Source organism: Homo sapiens, chromosome 5, assembly GCF_000001405.40.
Source record: "Homo sapiens chromosome 5, GRCh38.p14 Primary Assembly".
Lineage (NCBI taxonomy): Eukaryota > Metazoa > Chordata > Mammalia > Primates > Hominidae > Homo > Homo sapiens.
Window position 1 is genome coordinate 66983481 of NC_000005.10, and position 20952 is coordinate 67004432.

General features: G+C 39.8%; 1 protein-coding gene and 1 long non-coding RNA gene across 22 annotated transcripts in view, besides 1 other annotated feature; one reads left to right on the plus strand and one right to left on the minus strand.

Annotated features, from left to right (window-relative positions):
- Window positions 1–20952, plus strand: part of MAST4 (microtubule associated serine/threonine kinase family member 4) — a 573201-nt gene that overhangs the window by 387088 nt on the left and 165161 nt on the right. For 2 of the 21 annotated variants that reach the window (NM_198828.3, NM_001290228.2), the window contains one exon: window positions 2964–3043. The exons of the other annotated variants lie outside the window; for them this stretch is intronic. In NM_198828.3, the coding sequence (NP_942123.1) occupies window positions 2964–3006 (43 nt within the window). In that variant the 3' untranslated portion in view covers window positions 3007–3043. Of the gene's footprint in view, window positions 1–2963; window positions 3044–20952 lie in introns of those variants that run through there. 21 annotated transcript variants of the gene reach the window in all.
- On the minus strand, window positions 18138–20674 carry MAST4-AS1 (MAST4 antisense RNA 1). Its single transcript, NR_111908.1, has 2 exons — window positions 20364–20674; window positions 18138–18569 (listed from the first exon to the last, which is right to left on the minus strand). It is a non-coding gene; the product is annotated as an MAST4 antisense RNA 1 (long non-coding RNA).
- Window positions 20552–20891: a silencer, noted in NCBI's record as "silent region_16069". NCBI's record gives its function as "represses an Ori minimal core promoter by ATAC-STARR-seq in GM12878 lymphoblastoid cells {active_cell/tissue: GM12878}" and the evidence as "EXISTENCE:reporter gene assay evidence [ECO:0000049][PMID:35858748]".

A 20952-nucleotide genomic window follows, 5' to 3' on the forward strand; every position in this document is an offset into this window, starting at 1 on the left:
CTACCATTTGCATGACACTTGCTTTAAGGGACTTGGGGCTATTTGTGTAGTATCTCTAAGTGCCAGTTTCCTCATCTGTATATTGGGGAAGTTCACATTAATCTTTCCATGTTTGAGGATCATTAAGTACCAGGCACAGGGGAAATGATTAGTAAATAGTTTCTACAAAACTGAGGGGGAGGGGAATGGGGAGGGATTAGAGGTATTTGCTTTTGTCATGTTGTGATTTGGTTATTTCATTGTGTAATGTTGTGATTTGTCAACAGAGGTTTTATGCCAGTGTTATGACTTTACACAAAGCCTTAGTAGAGGTGGAGCTCCTGAAGGAATACAAAGATGTAACCTATGACTTCAGATAGTGGGGTTTACAGAGTGAAATATTGTTCAATTCAAACAGAGGAGGACAGAGAAAGAAGTCCTGGACCATGCCTCTCAAAATCTTTTGGCTGACAGTGCTTAGTGGTAACACAGAGGAGGCACTGTATTCATTCACACAATCTTCATTTCAGCAAGTGTTTTTGAGAAGCTACCACCAGCCAGGCTGTGTTCTAGGCTTTAGGGATACGGTGACAGACAGGATAGAGAAAGTCTCTGCTCTCATGGAGCTTATATCCCAGTGGGGTGCAGGGATTTGGAGAAGAGGATGTAACATAAACCAGAAAAACACTGGAGGAGTGACAAGTGAGCTGCAGAGAAGTAAAACAGGGGAGTCCATGGCTTCTTTCTTCCTGAAGGAGTGGCATGCGAGCTGGAACTAAATGACCAGAAGGCAACAGCCATGAGAAAACCAAAGCAAAAGCCTCCCAAGTAAAGAGGCCACCCAGGGCAGAAGCAAGCTAAAGAAGAGTGGTGTGGGCACAGGGCACACATGTGGATGAGTGGGCAGAGAGGCAGGGCCAGGTCCACAAGACTTCATAAGTTGGAGTAAGGAGATTGGGCTTTCCTTTAAGCAGGATGGAAAGAAAGCACTTGATATTTTTATTTTTTTGTTTTAAGTTCCGGGATATAAGTGCAGAATGTGCAGGTTTGTTACATAGGTATACGTGGAAAACACTTGATATTGTAAAGTAGGGTAATAACATAATCTGATTTGCCTCTTTAAAGTTTCCCTGGTTTCTGTGTAGAGGGTGGATAGAGCTCAAAAAGTAACTTAGAATGAGAGAGAATGTTGCCTTGGACTACAGGGGTAAATAGTGAAATTGGAGAGAAGTAGATGGATTCAGGCTGTGTTCTGAGGGGGAAATGTGTAGGGCTTGCCAAGGGATGAGTTGGAGGATGGGGGCGGGGCGGGGGGCATTGAGGGAAACAGCAAAAACAAGGATGGGTCCTAGATTGTCCACTGGATGAACAGAAGATCACGGTTCTGTTTACACAGGTGGGGAAGACTTGAGAGGGCGGGGAGCAGGATCGTGGAAGAAAATTAAAAGTTTTGTTTTGTTTGTGTTGAATTTGAGATCTTTATATGATACTCATGTGGAATCTGGAATTCTAAGGAGAAGTTAGGTCTGGAGAAGTAAATTTGGGACTTTTAGGAAAGTAGGTGGTGTACAGGGCCAGGGGACTGGATGAAGTCAACTAGTGAGAAGTAGCTTCAGGACAGATTCCTGAGACACTGCAGATTGAAATATCATGCTGAGGATCTGGAGGAGGCATGACCAGAGATTAGGAGGAAGACCAGCCAGGTGATTTCAAAGAAGCGGAATGAAGGAGGAGTTTCACACAGGAGAGTGGTCTTCTGTGTGGAGTGATGCTGATCCTTCATTAGGAGGATATGAAATGTCAGATGCTGAAAGGTCTCTGCCCATCTGTGCACAGACCATGGAATTAAAGGACCATTTTGGGGAGGGTTCAGGAGAGGTAGGTGAGTAGAAGGTAGAATGCAGGTGCTGGAAGAAATGTTCAATCAAAGACAAAGGCCCTTAACATGCCAGCAGCTTGAGGGGCCCTAGATTTTCCTGCTGGGCAAATTGGAGTTCTGGATCTTTGAAAGGTACGGAAGAACTTTCCTTTTTGATGCCTTTCCCTTCTTTGTTACCAAATCAGGTTTATTTTTAGTGCCTGCCTTATCTGAGCAGTAGGCCTGGAATGATTTTATAACCTACCTATTTATTTTCCTTTAACCTGTAGCCTGCTTGTGTGTGTCTGTATAGCTGAAAGAGACTTTGAAGTAGGTAAGATACGAGGTTGGGCTTAGAGGAAAGATTAGGTTTTGGGGTAAGTGGAACAAGGGTGTATGGGGTGGGAAAGGGAATCAAAACAAAGGCAGAGAAGGTAAAAATAACTTTCATATGTGGGGCTGCTTCCTATGTCGTTGAATTAGAAAAAATAAAATGGCAATGTATTTAGCATAGTAGTGAAAACTCCAGCAGGTGGTATAGCAACAAGGGAAACCTGAGCTTCATTGACTCCTTGCATCTCACCTACTTCTAAAAAAGACTCAAGTCATCTACATGTAGACAGCACAGTGTGTAGAACTACTCATTCATCCTGTAAACATATATTGATTGCCAATAATGATCCCACGGTAGAGGCTGGGATACCAAGATGGGTGACCCATGACCTTCCCTCAAGGAAAACAGACAAAAACAGCTGTAATATAATAACAGACCAGAGGAAAGAGGATTAATTCTGTCTAATTCCATTTCACCAGGATGTAGAAGTTTGAAAAGTTGTCTATGAGGAAGAGAGGAGGAGGTAGCGAGGCATCCCTTGCTGGGGAGGGCAGGGTCACAGTGGGAGCAGAGTGCAGGGCAGGTCCCTGGGGAGCACAGAGCTGGGAAGGGCAAGGAAGAAGTGTTAAGTGCAGAGTCTGGAAAGGGAAACTGAGCCCAAGCGGGACTTGACTTTTATAGAAAGTATGGATCCATATGTTGTTACACAGAGAAATACTTGCTCTTTATTTTAGAAAGAAAATCTGTAAATGTGCATCATATCACTCTGTCTTTTTCTCTGTTTATTTTTAGCCCTGTGTGTCCAAATGCTGGGAGAACATCACCCCTTGGATGAATTGCCACCACATTAAATAAAACATATCCAAAGCTCATATTGTTTCCTTTCCAGTACTTTCTCTCTGTCTTTCCATATAGACATATATATATTAAAAATATATATGTATGAATTTATATATATATATATATATTTATTTATTTATTTATTTTGAGACAGGGTCTCACTCTGTTGCTCAGGCTGGAGGGCAGTAACACGATCATAGCTCACTGCAGCCTCAAGCTCCTGGGTTCAGTTGATCCTCCCACTTCCTGAGTAGCTGGGACTACAGGTGCACATCACCATGCCTGGCTAATTTTTTATTTTTTAGAGATAGGGTCTCGCTATGTTGGTCAGACTGGTCTTGACCTCCTGGCCTCAAGCAATGCTCCCACCTCAGCCACCTGAGAAGCCAGGATTATAGGCATAAGCCACCACGTCCAGCTAAACGTGTCTATATTTTGTTTCAAACAAATATGCATGTACATGTGTATGCTCTTATCTCTCAAAATCTTAAAGAAGTGTAAGATTATATAAACTTACTAGATTCTTCATGGTGTTGCATGTGCTAGAGCAAATCTTCCTCAATGCTTGTATATTTAATAGCCTGAAAGAATAAATGTTTTTCTAATGGGCATATTTTAGCTGAGGTTTTTTTTTAAGTCAAATATGTATATAAGTATGTGTAAAGTTTATGTGAAAGAAACGAGAGCCTTGTTTTCAGAAGCTCTTCTGTGTCTTGAAGGTGACATGTTTTTGCTTTCTTAAGTGACTTTACAGACGAAAAAGGAGTCACACTTTTACAGTTGATTTGGTGTAACCCTCCTTCATCAGTATCTAGCATATAGAGTATGCTGATGAGTCATGTGCAATGTGTTTTGAAAATCAGAAGTTTTCAGATGAGCTGGAGGCCTGGATGCCTGAAATGGCTTAGGACATAAACTGCTCAAAAATAATTATAATACCCTTTTTTTTGTAATTTTTTTCTACTTTTTTTTTTAGGTGCTCTGCAGGTTCAGAGAAACTTCTCTAGTAACAGACTGAGAAATGGTCCCTAAAGTATGGTGTTTAATTTCAATACTCCTAAAGAAAATCCAGTTTCCTTTGTAAAATGTTCCTTATGTAACAAAACTGTACTGAAAAAATGTGGTATTTTTCTTTCTCTTTATTTTGTCTCCCTATACCACTGAGAAGTTAATGGTTTAAGGAAAATATTTCAAGCCGTACAGATCATGTCAAATATTTGGTTTGGTAGGATTAATATTTTACTGCAGAGTGACAGTGCTAGTGCTGTCCTAGTTTTAGGGATGATTATATAAACTAATGAGCCCCATCCATTAAAAAACTTAGGGAAACAAAAAGCTATTTATTATGTGGATTACACTGACTGTAGTTAGGATTACACTGACTATAGTTAGGACATGGAAGTGTGAAATAGTTACAACGTGGTTGCGTTTAATTAAAGTTGCTCTTTTTGTGATGCTGAGGTTAATAATTATGACGCTGTGCAAATGTTTAATACTGCTTTATTTTAAAAAAAACTCAATGTTTTGTTGTTTTGTGCCTAGCTCTCCACTGGCCTAAAGCTGACTTTTCACTTAAGTTTACCATCCTCTGAATTATTTCCATTACAACAGATTTTAAGAATGACAGTTGGCTGGGGGCATTGTAATTGTATACTTCAGCCACTAGAGGGAAGAGACTCTAGTATTTATTCTGGGGAAAGAAAACGTGCTTCATCTCTCTGATTCTGTCACTGACCTTTAATCTGAAGGGGGTTATCCTTAGCATTGGGATTACCCTTCTTCCTCTTTTAGAGAAAAAACTTTGGGAAGGAAAAGGTAGAATTAAGGATATTGGACCAGGGCTTGATATATGGGTGTATCTGCCTGAAATTTGGGGTTCAACCAGTTCCTTCAAGACAGCTTCCAATGGGCAAGCAGCTTTGTTGGGGGAAGTGAGTGATTCTTCCAGAACTATTTTATCTGTTAGTATAAAATAACAGTAACATGACTAACATTTCTGGAATATTAGACACTGTTTTAAATACTTTAAAAATACTAACTATCCTAGCAACAGTCCTATGAGGTAAGTACTATTATCCCCATTTTACAGAATAGGAAACTAAGGTACTTAGAGGTTAAGTAACTTATCCAAGATCACAGAACTAGAAACTACTGATATTGTGGTTAAAAACATGGGCAGTGGCTCCAGGATTTATGTTCTCAAGCACTGTACAATACTGCCTTTCCACTTATGCCCAGTTTCTCAAGCACGAAGAGACATTCACAGAATTTTGACAAGTTTGAGTCTACAAAGATGAGAGATATTTTGGTTGAAAACTACAACAGGAAAACTGTAGAATCAAAATTTATACCATAATTTACCCAGGAACACATACATGGTTCACATTTTAACGTTTCTAGAATCAGATTGTGGCTTACAGCTTTATTCAGGGAAATAAGACATATTTGTAAACATAATATACCAACTTCATTAATTGTTAAATTTAATGCTCACAAAAACGTATTTGAAAATAATTTCTATTTTAGATCTTTGTACTTCATGAGAATTCCCCAGTGTGTGTGAGGATTACTGAGATTTGAAGTGAAAATATAAAATACTTATATTTTAGAGGAAAAAAAGGTAATGTGGGATGTTGGTGTGTTTTAATTTGTTTGGTAGTATGTCAGATGGGGCTTCCAAAGGTAAGTTTCTAGGACCTTCACGTTGTTAAATGGCCTTGGATCCTGCCTCTTCTCTAGGATTCACAGAAGCATTTTTCAAACCGCACCTGCCCCTCCTTATACCTCCTTGCTCATAATCAGGTTTAGGCTCCTTACTTTCCCTTCAGGAAGTCAGTTATTCTCATCAAGGCTTCAGAAATAGTCCTAGTGTTGAGCACGTGGGAGAGCTGCTTGTCTTCAGAGTGGTTTGACCCAGTCATTGATGAGTTGAAGTTTTCACTGTCTCACTGAGGCATGTGGCAGCTCAGAATTCATTCAAGCAAACTGGGCAGAGTCTGTGGTATTCAGGAATGGAGGCACAGCAGGAATGCAGGTCTGTGGCTTTGATCAAAACCCCTATCCACAAACAAGCAGAGCCCTGTGAATATGGTGAAGCATAATTTTTTCCCCACTGACATTTTGAAACCAGCTCCCTTACAGAAAGAAATATAGTTTTGGACAAACTTCAGGGAGTTTCCAAGAATTTTCAATAAACAACACAGTCACACTAAGCAAAATTTTTTTTCAATCCAAGAAGAATAAAACATTTTTCTAGAATATATAAAATATGGTAGTTTTATTTAGTAAAAATATAAAGGAACTTTAAAACTATCTTAAATCTCTGTTTTAAAGGATTTTTATTTCATCTCATTCTTTAAATTTTAAAATTTGTAATCAATGGCAGAATATTCAGAGACCAGACACATAAATAAATGAGCTGAGAAATGTGCTTTTGTAGCTTTATTCTTGATCTCCACCTTAGGGCATTTCTGTGCTCTCCGGCAAGCCCTCACAGGTTTCACAGGGAGACACAGAGGATTGAGACTTAGAATTTGCCAGCTGTTGACAGATCTATGGAAGAGTCAGTGTGGTAAGAAGTTAATTTTATAAAATAAAATTTATGAATTATCGATGGATTTCTATTATTCATGCTTGTTTTCTTTTAAAGACCTCTTTAAAAATGTATATGGCCTTAGAAACTATTGATTTTGTTTGGAAATTTTAAATACTTAAAAAATACTAACTATCCTAGCAACAGTCCTATGAGGTAAGTACTACTATTCCCATTTTACAGAATAGGAAACTAAGGTACTTAGAGGTTAAGTAACTTATCCAAGATCACAGAACTAGAAACTATAATAAACCTCAGAAATATAGTCTAGGTTGGGTGTGGTGGCTCACACCCATAATCCTAACACTTTGGGAGGCTGAGGCAGAAGGATTACTTGAGCCCAGGAGGTCAAGACCACCCTGGGAAAACATAGGGAGACCTCGTCTCTACATAGAATTTTTTAAAATTAATCAGATGTGGTGGCATATGCCTGTGGTGCCAGCTACCAAAGAGGGTGAGGTGGGAAGATCACTTGATCCAGGGAGATCGAGGCTGTAGTGAGCTACGATCATGCCACTGCACTCCAGCCTGGGAGACAGAAGCCTTGTCTCCCCATCACAAAAAAGCTATGTATTAAGTTAGTTTATATTCAAATTTAAAGAGTCATATGAGCATTCTGTATTACTTGTCTCAGTTGTTGATAAACTTACCTGGTCATGTTTCTCTATGAGACTTTTTCTTAAGTTACTTGACTTGTAAGCTTATAGGTGTAAATATGTTCTAGAGTTTCCTGGAATCTGACAGATAGAGTACATGTGATTTCTTTGGGGAAACAGATATAGTTTTATTTATTGGACTATTTCTTAGAGAAATAGTTATGAATTTAGTTATTCCCTATGAAAGGCTGATTCTTTGGATTAAAAAAATAGGTTCAGAATTATTTGAGTGAAAGCTTCTCAAAAATAATGACTCTGAAATTTAGGACCTTAAATTGCTACCACACTCAAAGAAGAAATTCTGTCCTAAACTGCTCTGAAGTATCAGTGGTTTGAGAGAAGGGATGTTACAGAGACTACAGGCATGAAACAGTCTGCTGATACTTTGCCATTAGAAAAACTGGCTGGCTGGTTTGCATATTCTGGTCTATTCATTTGTTCACTGTTTCCCACTTGTTCTTTCATTTGCTTCCCTTGGAGAGTAGCAAGTTGAAAAAAATTCAGTAGTTTTGGTATGGCTCATATTTACGAAATGCCAAAAAAGAACCAAGAGTTCTTTTTCCTTTCTCCTCGAAAATTGCCCTTGTTTGGATACTTACATGTTATATGATGGGCATAACCCCTGGGTCCCATGTTGATAGATGAGTGTTAGACTCACCCAGAATATTACCTGTCTTATATCTTTGAAGCACATACGAAATAGCCTTTGTGATTTGAGTGACTGGGCCAGTGTTCTCCATTATGTGCAGCAGGCTTCACTCCACAATAAAGCTGAAAGAACTTCACTCCCCAGTAAAGCTGAAAGTAACAGACAATACCTCAAGTTTTAGGTGCTTTACAGATACCTGGCAGCTCACTGAAGTATATCCAATCCTGTTTCTGGGACAAAATCACTGGATGGATCTTTCCGAGCCATGATTTTTGCAGTAATGTTTCTGAAGCTATAGCACTAGATACAAAGGATAAATAGAAAAATGATTATTTTGAAAGGGGAGAGAAAGGACTCTGGCAGTATCTGATGCCACTCTAGATGTTAAATGTGGTTATGTTTATCTTTTAGCCCCAGGCAGTTTATGGTTTAGGATTTTTGAACGATTGAAGGATGTGCCTCCATGAGCCCTCACCAGAGACAGCCTGGGCCTTCCTGCTTTTTTCTGTGTGTTTTGCATCAAGCAGTGTTATTTGAAGGTAGCTGCAGTTCCTTCAGGGAAGATGAGTTGGCAGCAAGGCAGACAGATACAGTCATGGAGCAAGTTACTAAAGACTTGTAAATCACTCTCAAGTTATATAATGTGATTTAATATATATTAAAACAATGATAGCAGAAATAAATAACTCATGTAGGATGAACTGTTTTCAGTTTTCCATGATGCCTGCAAATCTTTTTCTGTATGCATGCGTGATTTTATGATTGCAATCGTAATACAGGTGCACTTTTTTCTGTTGTTTTTTCATGTAATGCATTACCATGCTGCTATATAATCTTCATAATGATCATTTTTGGTGTCTGCATAATTAGTAAATAAGTCATCTACTCTTGATAACTATGAGGAAAATAAAAGAGATAGTGTCTATATCAAGAACTGATGTCCTTTTCAGTGTTTCGCATCTTCACTTCCGGTTTTCTCTAATGAAAAGAATTAGGGAGATGGAGTGATAGCTACCACTCCTTGGGAAGCCTGTCTCTAAATTCTGATGGGTAGCATCATCTACTAAACTCAGACTTCCGAAGTCATGGGCAGACTTTCCCCATCACCTATACCTTGCACTTTCATCTTAAAGTTTCAGTCCCCTTTAAACTGTAAAGCCAGCTAGATGGTCACATCTTCTAAGTTATCAACTAAACGTTAATTCTTACTTATCAATCTCATCTAAAGCCTTAGGTGAGATTGATTGTCTGTGCAATACAGGCAAGAACAAGATGTAGGAACGGGCAGTTGTGAAAGAGGAAGAAATGTGCTAGGAGAGGAGATGAACAGAGGGAACTGATTGTGAAACATTACTCAGATGAGCTGATCTGAAGTCTGTTCAACTTTGTAACTCCTCCTAAGTGCGACGGAAGGTTTCACTGGGTAAGCTGACATTTGTGAGCCAGGAGCCCCAGACTGTGAGGTGGTGGCCAGCAGATTGCAAACCTTGAGCACTGTTGATGTAGCACTCTTGATTCTCATCTTTTCTCTGCTATGGCTGTGTGTGTTGATCATGTTTCCAGCAGGATTGAGTTACTACCTTGGAAAAAGGTCACCCTGCTCAAGTTCATGTTTTTATTCATCTTTTTAGAGAAGACAAACTACACTTTACTTCAGCCATACTTATTGGGAAGGAAAGTAAAAACCCAATAGTGGCGTTTGGTTCATTTATTAATAAACCTTTTAAATATGCCTGAATATCATGGACTTTTTATTGATCATTTTATTACTCATTACGAAGATTGTCAATAATGACAGTGCTTTAAAAGAAAAATCATCCAGCCAATTGACAAAGGCAACCTGATTTTGGAAGCATCCCTCAGGGCTTATCTGTAGAAGTTGGAAAAATAGAAAAATAACTGTTTTTGTTTTTAGTTAACCTTAGAAAAATGTGTGTGCAACCATTCATTCCGCTGAGTGTCTGGTGTGTACTTTGAGACATACACAGATGAATAGAAACGGTCCTTGTACTTGGAGAGCTTTAAGCATAGTAGGGCATTAGACCTGTAAACACATAATTGTGCTGCAGTGGAATGACTGGTAAAAAAGAGGCATGCATATGAATAAAATTCATTGGGGAGCCAGGAGAAAAACCATTTATGTCTGCAGGAAAAGGTCAGGACCACTTTGCTGGAGAGGTGACCTTACAGCTCATGCTTGAAAGATGTGCAGGTTTCCAAGCAGAGGAGCTGGAAATTCTAGGAAGAGGAACAGGATGTGCAAAGGCAGTGAGGTGTGGCAGAGCTTACTGTGTCTGAGGAGCTTAAAGTAATCCAGTATTTCTGACAGGCACATAAACAACAGAGGGCACTTGTTAAGGGATGAGGCAGGAGAAATAACAAGGGATTATAGCATAAAATATTCCATTAAAAGAGGTTTTGATATTTTTGTGGAGTACCTCTCAAACTTTAAGAATCACCTGGACATTTTAGTAGAATGCAGATTTCTGGGCTGTACTTCCAGAATTATAGAATCAATGGGTGTGCAGAAGACCCCCCCCCCCACCCCACCAAATCTGCATTTCTAACAAGCACTCCAGATGATTCAATGATGATAAGACAGAAACCATGTGTGGAGAAATACTGCTGTAGAACAATGGGGACCCATTCAACTTTGTTTCATGGGAGAGTGATATGACTGCGTGCACCTGTTTGAGCTGAGCAGTTTTGGAAGAATGGTTTCACATTGACAGTGAGGAGCACCAAGAGGAAGGAACGGTACCGCATTAATCTACACAAGAGATCGTGGAAGCCATGACCAGGGTCATGGCAAGTGAGGAGAAGACATGAAAATCTATTGTTCCTTTATCATTTTATACAGAGTGAAAACTTTTACCCAATTTTCTTTTATTTTCCAATTTTCCAATCTGGTGTATTTTTCAGCCACTTTTAAATGGGATTTGCTTTTCTTTTCAGTTTTCTATTGCTGCTGTTTACATGTCCTCTGGCCTTGTTTTTCTTTCTCCTTCGTATATTAGCATTCTTAATAATTCTGTACGTACTTCATTTCCTAAAAGCTACTTATAAAGACAATTCTTGTTTCACATTCATTCATTTGTCACTCACCTGTCACTATATTGAGTAACTTGACTGGCTGTTGTTCTCATTCCTATTAACTGGAGTAACTTCTCTTTGAAAGTTTTTTGATCACCAGGAACTTTAATATGGTTGTCTTCTATAACATGTATGACAGTACATTGAATACAAGAATATTTCTATGGTTGGCAGCAGAAACGTCGTCTTTACCTTTCAGTACTCTCAGTCTAACTATATACAGACAGTTTAAACTGAATTACCTAGTCTCATGGGAAATAACAAGTTAGGGTGTTTTGGAGAAAGGAGGAAGTAATCCCAAATTATAGCTATTTAATTCTTTGAAATGAAGAGCATTATTTTTATTATATTCATGTCTAGATAATGTTAAAAGTAAGTTTGCTTCTCAAGAGTTCATGTTTTTTTTGAGCAGTGAAAGAAAGCTTTTTCATTGTACAACATGACAGAGGGAAGCAGGTCTGGAATTCAAAACTGTTCACATAAATGCACAGCCTCACCAATCTGCAAATAATGACACATATATTCAAACAAAAGCAAAGCACTGCATGGATTTAAAGCCCAGTCGGCTTTGAAAATACCCGTTTGCCCAGTTGCCATAGACAAGGTAGTAAGGATTTATATCTAGAAATCAGAGATATTTTTCATTTTTATATTATAGAATTCCTGAGAGTAGGAAAGACTTCTTTTTAAAAGCAATTTTAGTATTTATTTCCAAGACTCATAGAGCTTTTATTAATGCATATGCATTATTTCGTGTGTCAAAAAATATCAATCAAATTTTATTAAAATACCAGAGTAAAAGTGTGTATTGTTTTCTTAAGTTTGTAAACTCTTCAAAGTATTCTAAAATTCTCAGGAACTTGAACTTTCAGGTCATGATAATAGGACTGTCAAATGTGTGGCTCCTGGAAATCAGAAATTTTTTTGTCTGTTTGTTTTTGAGACAGAGTCTCACTCTGTCTCCCAGGTTGGAGTGCAGTGGTGTGATCTTTGCTCACTGCAAAATCCACCTCCGGTTTCAAGTGATTCTCCTGCCTCAGCCTTCCAAGTAGCTGGGACTATCGGCACCCGCCACCATACCCAGCTAATTTTTGTATTTTTAGTAGAGACGGGGTTTCACCATGTTGGCCAGGATGGTCTCAATCTCTTGACCTTTTGATCCACCTGCCTCGGCCTCCCAAAGTGCTGGGATTACAGGCGTGAGCCACCATGCCCAGACGAAAATTTTTTAAATTTAAAACAACCTAGGCATAGCACAGTGGCTCATATGTGTAATCCCAACACTTTGGGAGGCTGAGACAGGAGGATCACATGAGCCCTGGAGTTGGAGGTTGCAGTGAGCCATGATTTCACCACTATACTCCAGCCTGAGAGACAGCAAGATGCTCTCTCAAAACACACTCACATACACACACACACACACACACACACAAACTTGTAAAAAAACATGAGAAGTATAAAAGAGGATAAATCATAATTCTGTACTGACAGATGTTCATTAAAAATACTTTGTTGGCCAGGCATGGTGGCTCACGCCTATAATCCCAACACTTTGGGAGGCTGCGGTGGGTGGATTGCCTAAGGTCAGGAGTTTGAGACCAGCCTGGCCAACATAGTGAAATCCTGTCTCTACTAAAAATACACAAAATTAGCTGCGCATGGTGGCAGGCACGTGTAATCCCGGCTACTCGGGAGGCTGAGGCAGGAGAGTTGCTTGAACCCCGGAGGCAGAGGTTGCAGTGAGTCGAGATCGTGCCATTGCACTCCAGCCTGGGCAACAAGAGTGAAACTCCATCTCAAAAAAATATATATATATATACTTTGTTGATTTCCATCGTTTTTATTCGTATATAACCATATATATAATATCTTAATGTAGATCATAGAACTTCATTTTTTTCTGATTTTAAAATATTACTTCAGGAGCATTTCCCATTTATTACATATTTTTTAAAAATATCATTGTTTTAGTTTCTTCTGGTTACTATAACAAATTATAACAAACTAGCTTAAAACTAGCTTATATTTATTTATTCTCTTAGAATTTTAAAGGTCAGAAGTCCGAAATCAATTTCTGTGCGCTGAAATCAAGGTGTCGGCTGGGCTGAGCTCCCTCTAGAAGCGCTGAGGTGGAATCTGTTTCCCTGCCTTCTCCAGCTCCTAGAGCTGCATTCCTTGCAGTTTTTTGGCTCTTGTCCCCTTCCTCCATCTTCAGGCCCAGCAGCCTAGCATCTCATTTCAGTGCCACATTGCTGCCTTCTTCAAGTATCCCTCTGCCTCACTTTCATAGAGACACTTGTGATTATATTTAAGGCCCACCTGGATAACCTAGGACCAACTCCTCATCTCAAGATTCTTAATTACATCTGCAAAACTCTTCTTGCTATATAAGGTAACATATTCACAGGTTCCAGAGATTAGAACCTGGATATCTTTGGAATCTATTATTCAGCCTACTGTAATTCTAATTCTTTACTGGTTTTCTAAAATTCTATTTTGTGGCTGTTTTAGGATGTATTAACAATTGCCCTCATCTTGTACCTTTGGCTTTTTCCCAACATTATGCTATTATAAGCAATTCTGAGATTAATTTCCATATCCACAAATCTGTGTGCATACTTGATTGTATCTTTTGTATAAATATTGCATATTAAATTATAATTCAAATATATCTATGTATATATTATATGTACATGTATATATGGACACATACATTTATATATGTGTTTGGACATGTACACATATGTGCCTACTACATGTATATATATGTATGTGACCATATATGGGTCTATGTATGTATATGTTTTCCTTCTCCAAATTGCCTTCCAGAAAGTTAGTAGAGAGTACTTATCTTCCCCATGTCCTTACCAACATTGAGTATTATCTTTTTTTAATCTTTACCAGTGAAACAGGTAAATTGATACCTAATTAATGTGTTTTTTTTCTTTTCTCTTTTTTTTTTTTTTTTGAGATAGAGTTTCACTCTATTGCCCAGGCTGGAGTGCAGTGGCATGATCTCGGCTCACTGCAACCTCCATCTCTGGGGTTCAAGCAATTCTCCTGTCTCAGCCTCCCAACTAGCTGGGATTACAGGCACCTGCCACCATGCCCAGCTAATTTTTTGTATTTTTAGTAGAGACGGGGTTTCGCCACGTTGGCCAGGCTGGTTTTGAACTCCTGACCTCAGGTGCACCACCTGCCTCCCAAAGTGCTGGGATTATAGGTGTGAGCCACCATGCCCAGCCTGATTGATGTTTTAATTACATTTTATGATAACTAGTAAGAGTTAACACTTGTCATGCCTGACATTATATTTATACCCCTATGAATTAACGTTTCTTTTAAACTTTTTGTTGGTATAGAAGTGATATAACTTAATAGAACTCCTTGACTAAATAACTTCATGTCCTCCCTGACATATCTTCCGATGTGTGGAATAATTGGAATTGATCTTAGCAATGGAAGGAAATTCCGATTGTTACAGAAGCATGTGATTTCTACCTCTGTATATGCTCCCTGTTTGGTACTTTGATGAAAACTCATACTTCTCATTTTAATGGCATAATTTTCCATAACTTTAGATGTATGACCTGGAAAAAATATTCAAGAAAAGAAGAACGGATAAATTAACCTTAATCTTAAATTACAGAAAGGTCTTAGTGTCAGCTACGAAAGGGCTAAATATAACCATGCTGACCCACTTAAACCAAATTGACACTTCTTATAATTGCACTATAATTCATGCTCAAGAGCTGTATAAGAAATGATGCACCTTAGACCCAAGTTTCTGGATCAAGAAGCACCTTGTCCTTGAAGTTAATTCCAGATTGAGCATCTAATGCAATGATTAGTAGCCATGGTTCACTGTTACCATCAAAAAGAATTTAGCACTTCATACACAACTAGTTGTATATTTATACTTAAACGCAATTCGTTACCTATCATGGTCTCTGTTGAGATTTTGAAATTTGAAACAGTAGACCTGCCTAATAGGTACAGCTTATATAGATAATGGAATGGACTCATGGACCCATGAAACTGAAATTGAAATAGACAGGAAAAGGTTTTTAAAACACATATAGGGTCAGTCTTTAAAATATTAGGCAGGTAGCCCTAACTTTGTTATCACACATCTTTCTAACCTGTAGCAAATCCATCCTCAATCTCTTCTTTCCCCTGCCCACCCCTTCACCCCCAATCCTTTCTCTATTGTTCCCTTTCTCCCTTTGCTTAATATTCATCCCAATGGTGGTAGTGATGGTTTAAAGATGAGGGGATAAAGCCCCTGCCCTCAAGGAGCTCTTACTCTAATAGGGACTGATAATGTGCACAAAATGATTTGGATTTTGATACAGTGGAAGAACCCTTTCATGCAGGAGCTCTCAGGAGCACAGCCCAGTAGAGGGATATCTAATTCATTGGGGATGGGGGGCTCCCATGAAGGCTGCCTAAAGTGACAACAAGGTTGGTCTTAAAACAAGATAGGAGTTAGGTTTTCTGTTTGCCGGGTGATGCATTGATCTCCAAGTGTTGCTGTCTACTTCATAATTGGATTACTGGCTTGGGTGGAGGCCAGTGCTCCACGTGGTTTATTGATGGATCTTCCAGACAGCTGTTTTAGAATGGAGAGATACACTCATCTCTGGATCTTGCCCAGTAGTCTCCTTCTTTTGCATGACCCCTTCATCCCTGTAAGGATGCCATGTGTTTTCTGGCAGTGTGTCCAGCTGTTCTCCCACGGGGTGGAACTCTGTTGGGACTAAGCTATGGGGCTTCTCCCAGGAACTTCCCCTGCTTGAAAGTCAGAAGGTAGAGTGCTGGAGTGTGCTTGCAAGACATGATTCTGCACCTTCTCCAGTCCTATGGGCTGTGTGCCATATATGTATTCTACTCTAATTATCAATCATACATATCAAGGAGTCACTCACTGCCTTGGGAGATAAGTGCTTCATTTCCCATATCTATGCACTGTCTTCTCTTATATTTTGTTAGCTTATAGGTTATCTGCTAATCTTTTCCGTGTCTCTGATTCTCCTGGGATCCAGAGAATGCCTGAGAAAGACCTTGCATTCTCTTCCCATTCTGGCCAGTCTTTAGCATGTCCTTTACTTGCTTCAGACTGTATCCTTTACACTACCTTCGGAGATTGTGTAGTTCTTTGCTCAACCCATCAGGAAATAGAATTCTTATTTTGTTTCCTTTGTTTTGGGTTTTTTTTTTCCTTTTCCTTTTTTGCTTCCAGGATAATGTTTCTTTCATTTTACTCATTCACTTTAAAAATCTGAACCTCTCTTACCTTGTGGCATTATTTTAAAATATTTTTTGGTATTTTCCAGGATGATACAACCTTGCCTATTATCTGTCTTAGTTTTCAGCATTCAGGCCTATCCCTACAAGTTAATTGTTGTCTATCTTTTTATCTTTCTCCATATTTTAGCATTGTGAGTGCAAATTTGTTTAATAATATTAGAAACGCTTTCTTCAACCTGTTCCTCATTGATGTAACTTTCTTCCCATTTCTGTCCCAGTATTAAACTTTATTTCTTGGGATGTACAAAATGATTACAAGGATTGCTCATTCAGGACAGCCAGTTTGCTGTTCACAGTTCTAGCCTCAAACTCTCAAGACCACATTTAGAAGGTGACCAAAGTGGACTTGAAGGTGTGGACAGCCCTAGGGAACTAGTCACTTCTAGGTGCCCTGAAAATGGGGATGGGAAGATGTCAAAGTTAGTTTAGGGCAAAATCCTTAGAATAGGCCAGGATCAGGTAGAGTGCTTAGGAAATCTCAACTTAGTGTCTTATTGGGCATGGCCTCATGGCCCGAGTGTCCTGCACAGGGAGCTGACAGCTTTGCAGACTTCACATCCACACTAGAAAACTAAGTCTTTTCATAGAATCTAAGTTCAAGACAAGACTCCAGGCATATTATCTTTTAACATTGTTCTACGTGGACTGGAGAAAACCCCTTCTTAAAGGGCATGTGTTGCCGGCTGTGGTGGCTCACGCCTGTAAGCACTTTGGGAGGCTGAGGCGGGTGGATTACCTGCAGTCAGGAGTTCGAGACCAGCCTGCCTAACATGGTGAAACCCCGTCCCTACTAAAAATACAAAAAAATTAGTTGGGTGTGGTGGCGACTGCCTGTAATCCCAGCTACTTGGGAGGCTGAGGCAGGAGAATCGCTTGAACCTGAGAGGCAGAGGTTGCAGTAAGCCAAGATCGCGCCACTGCACTCCAGCCTGGGCGACAAGAGTGAAACTCTGTCTAAAAAAAAAGGGGGGGGGTGGCTTGTGTCAACAGGTGGGCAGTAGACAGAATTCAAGTCAGTAAAAAGGACCTGGCATTTTTTGTATGTAGAAGGGGAGGTAATAGTGAAGGATTTGACCCTTTCTTAAATACTTATTTCTTCCTAAGCTTGCATTTCAGTAGGATGACAAGCTTGTTTTTTAGTTTCATTTACCTTACAAAACCAATGGCTAACAATGTCATCCTGATTAAATGAATGAAAGTTCTGAACCACAAAGCTTGTCCATTGTTGTATAGGCTTAGTTGTTACACAATAGAAAATCCTGCTGAATATCTCTATATTGACCTAGACCAGCTATAGTCTTAAGAATTTCCAGTAATCTCAGTTCCCTCTTTGTTCTGCAGTTGAGTTTTACTGCAGTCGCAACTATAGTTTCTGCCCATATAATTATTTTGTAGGAAAATGTCAGTAGTTTTGACAATTTTAATTCTTGTGTTTACCGACTGCTCTGCCTTCTGAATCATATGTAACCAAATCAAGTCAAACAGGTTAGAAGACAACTCACACTTCAGTGTCATCTGTACTCTTATCTTCATGAGTGTGGGAATGTACAATCCACTTTCGCTCACTATATTAATTCATTCTGGTTCCTCATGTACTTAACCTATTTTTATTTTTTCAGTTTGGATACAACCCAAATCCTCTCAAGCCTTTTAAATGCAAAAAAAAAAAATAAATTTAAAGTATATGTAGTTAAAAATACTCATGTCTTTACCCATTCCTTTGAGAATTTCTGTAGAGGCTTTCTCAAAATGCAGAGAGTGGAGGCAGTCATAACATATGATGCCTGCAGATTGGGGTATCTGTCATTTAATCAAGAGAAGAAATAAACATTTTATGTCATTGATTTATCCATTTTAGTTGCTATCATCTTTATAGGTTATGCCCCAATACATGGGCTTTTCTAGAAAAACTATAGAGAATATGAGAGTTGGGAGGTATTGGAGTCCTCAGGTCTTCAAACCACCTACAGGTTGTGTTCTACTCACTGTATCTCCTTCAAGTTTTCTCTGCTCAAACAGCTCTCAGAAAATCCACTCTTGTGTCAGCTCTTTCATCTTTGGATCCAAACACTCTTTCACATAGTTCTCATAGTTTCACATAGCTGTATTCAACTACTGCTTGTTCCCTAAATTTTTTCTTCTCTACTTTCCACAGAGTTCTTCAACCCATAACTTATATAGCACAAGTTCATGTCCACCTTGATTACTCTTCTCTGTGCGGCTTATAATATGTAATTGTCCCTCTTGATCTTGGATACCTACAAGTGAGCACAAAAAGTTATTCTCTGGGCTTGCCTTTGAGGAGGGGACATGGGACTCAAAGGGAATTCCCCTTGAGTTTGATTGTGACATTTCTTAGAGCCATGTAAAGACCTGAGGAATGTTAGCACTGATATCTTTCCAGCTACATGATATAGATACAAATAAGTCACTAAGAGAAAGTCTTCAGAATTTACCGTCTTCATGGGATTCTCAAAAATTCAGTATTCTTTGAGAATACAGATCTACTAGTACTAATAGTTTCAGTGCATCTTAAGAGAAATAAGAGATACTTGGGCTTCTGAAGTATCCATTCAAAAAGGATTTACTAATATTAAATGCCTATATAAACTGAGGAGCTGTCAGGTTCTGAAAATATGAAGATCAGTAAAATGTGACTTTAGCCTTGAGGAACTCAGACTAATTGGAAAGACAGCAGTAAACAGTCAATTATACACAGTGTGATCAGCAGCCTGGTTGAAGACTCTAGAGAGTAGAAAGAAGCACATTGTGGGGTGTCCTCTGCTCCAGTCTTATGTCTGTCAGCATAGTATTCTCTTAGCTTCTGTATACTGCCTACATTTATGCGCAGTGTGTGTGTAGACATTGCGTGAAAGGGCTTATGTATGCCATCTCCTCTTCATTTATGTATATCAGCCTCTTACAGGTTGGTCCTATTATGGACCCCATATTGCAGCTGGGGAAAATGAGAAGAGATTTAAGGTCATAGTAAGTGTTGTATCCAGAATTCAGACCCAAAATTTTTGCTCTAAACCAGTGCTCTGTATCACCCCTCTCAGAGAAGCCTTTATCTGGAGCAGTGGTTCCCAACCAGGGGTGATTTTACCTCCCAAGGGACATTTGGCAATGTCCTCAGACATTTTTAATTGTCAGCACTGGCATCTAGTAGGTCGAGGTCAGCAATGTTGCTAAACATCCTCCAATGCTCAAGAAAGCTCCTCAGACAAAGAATTATCCAGCCTATGTCAACAGTGCTGAGGTCTAGAAACTGCTCCGGAGCACAGGGACACTCTTTTGTGTCAGCCTTCAAAACATCTTTTGCAATACTTAGAAACATTTTTTAAAAGAAGAGCATGGGGCAAAAATGCTGGACCAAGCTCATTAATATCTATTGAAGTGTGTTTTGTCATTTAGTGTCCCTGAATGTTTGGGATAAAGTCCCAAATGTAAAATTGAGAAAATAATGCCTTCTTTGTCTACCTCTGTGGGTTGCAAGGATCTGTGGAGGCTCTGTAAGAATGTGAGGAGATAACGCATACGAAAGCCTTGGACATGAAACATCATCCAAAACTCTTGGAGTCCTTGGTGTGAAAATATTAATGTGGGCCACAAGAATTAGATAAAGAAGATCCCACAGCAGGCTTCTTTTTGTTTACCCCGCCTACCTTGTCAGCTTACACCCCCTCTTCCTTCTCTTTATCCTCCCATTTTTGTAAGCGAGTTTGTTCCTGGTATTTACTGCATGGACTAAGCCATTTTTAGATGTATTTTTTGCTGAATATATACTTTTTTGATTTAGTATTTCTTGCCATATTACACCAGACTTAAGGCAGCTAATTTAAATTATATTTTTTCTTTATGTACTTTATACAAACATTCATGGATAGGGGGAGATATTTAAATACCATGCCTTTCTTCAAAATGAATAACAAGAACATTCAGCCCCCTTCATTCTGCCCTTTCAAGGTCTAACGTACTTGAAGGGGCAATACTTGTAGCATTTGCCACATAAATGCCAGGTAGTGTCTTTCCACATCGGGGCTCACCATTACCTAGATCTGTAGTTGCCGGCCATGAAGCCAAACAGGTGTGCACCGTGGTCATTGATGGAACAGATGTAAACTCATAAATTTAGTTTACTGAGGTTTTCGGTGAGTGTGGCTTCCCGTCCGCGTGCTTTTCCTATACAACCAGCGGCGTCCTGGCGGAGGAGTCACTGTGGACTTCCCCGGAGCGTTGTCACTGCCATCCCTCCCGCGGTGAATCACAGGTCGGCCTCAGGTGCGCGCAGCACACACCCGGAGCAGCCGCGGGTTTATTTATTTATTTCCGGGACGGATCCATTCCGGGCTCCGGGGAGGGGGAGCGGCGGCCCAGGCTGCGGGGCTGTCCCGGCACCGGCTGGGGTCGCGCCGCGGCCGCCTGCTCCCTTTCCCGTGAGCCCCCGCTCCTCAGGCGCGGCCGGGGCTGGTGGGGGGTGGGGGATGCAGGAAAGCTGGGGGCGCGGCCACCAAGCTGTCCAGGGACAAGGCCCTGCCGCCTCCTCCCAGCCGGACCCTGGAAGGGTCCACAAAGGTGTCAGGTTCAAGTCCTCCAATAGGCCCATTTTTTAAAAGTGCTTTTAAGTTTCCGCTTTTTTCA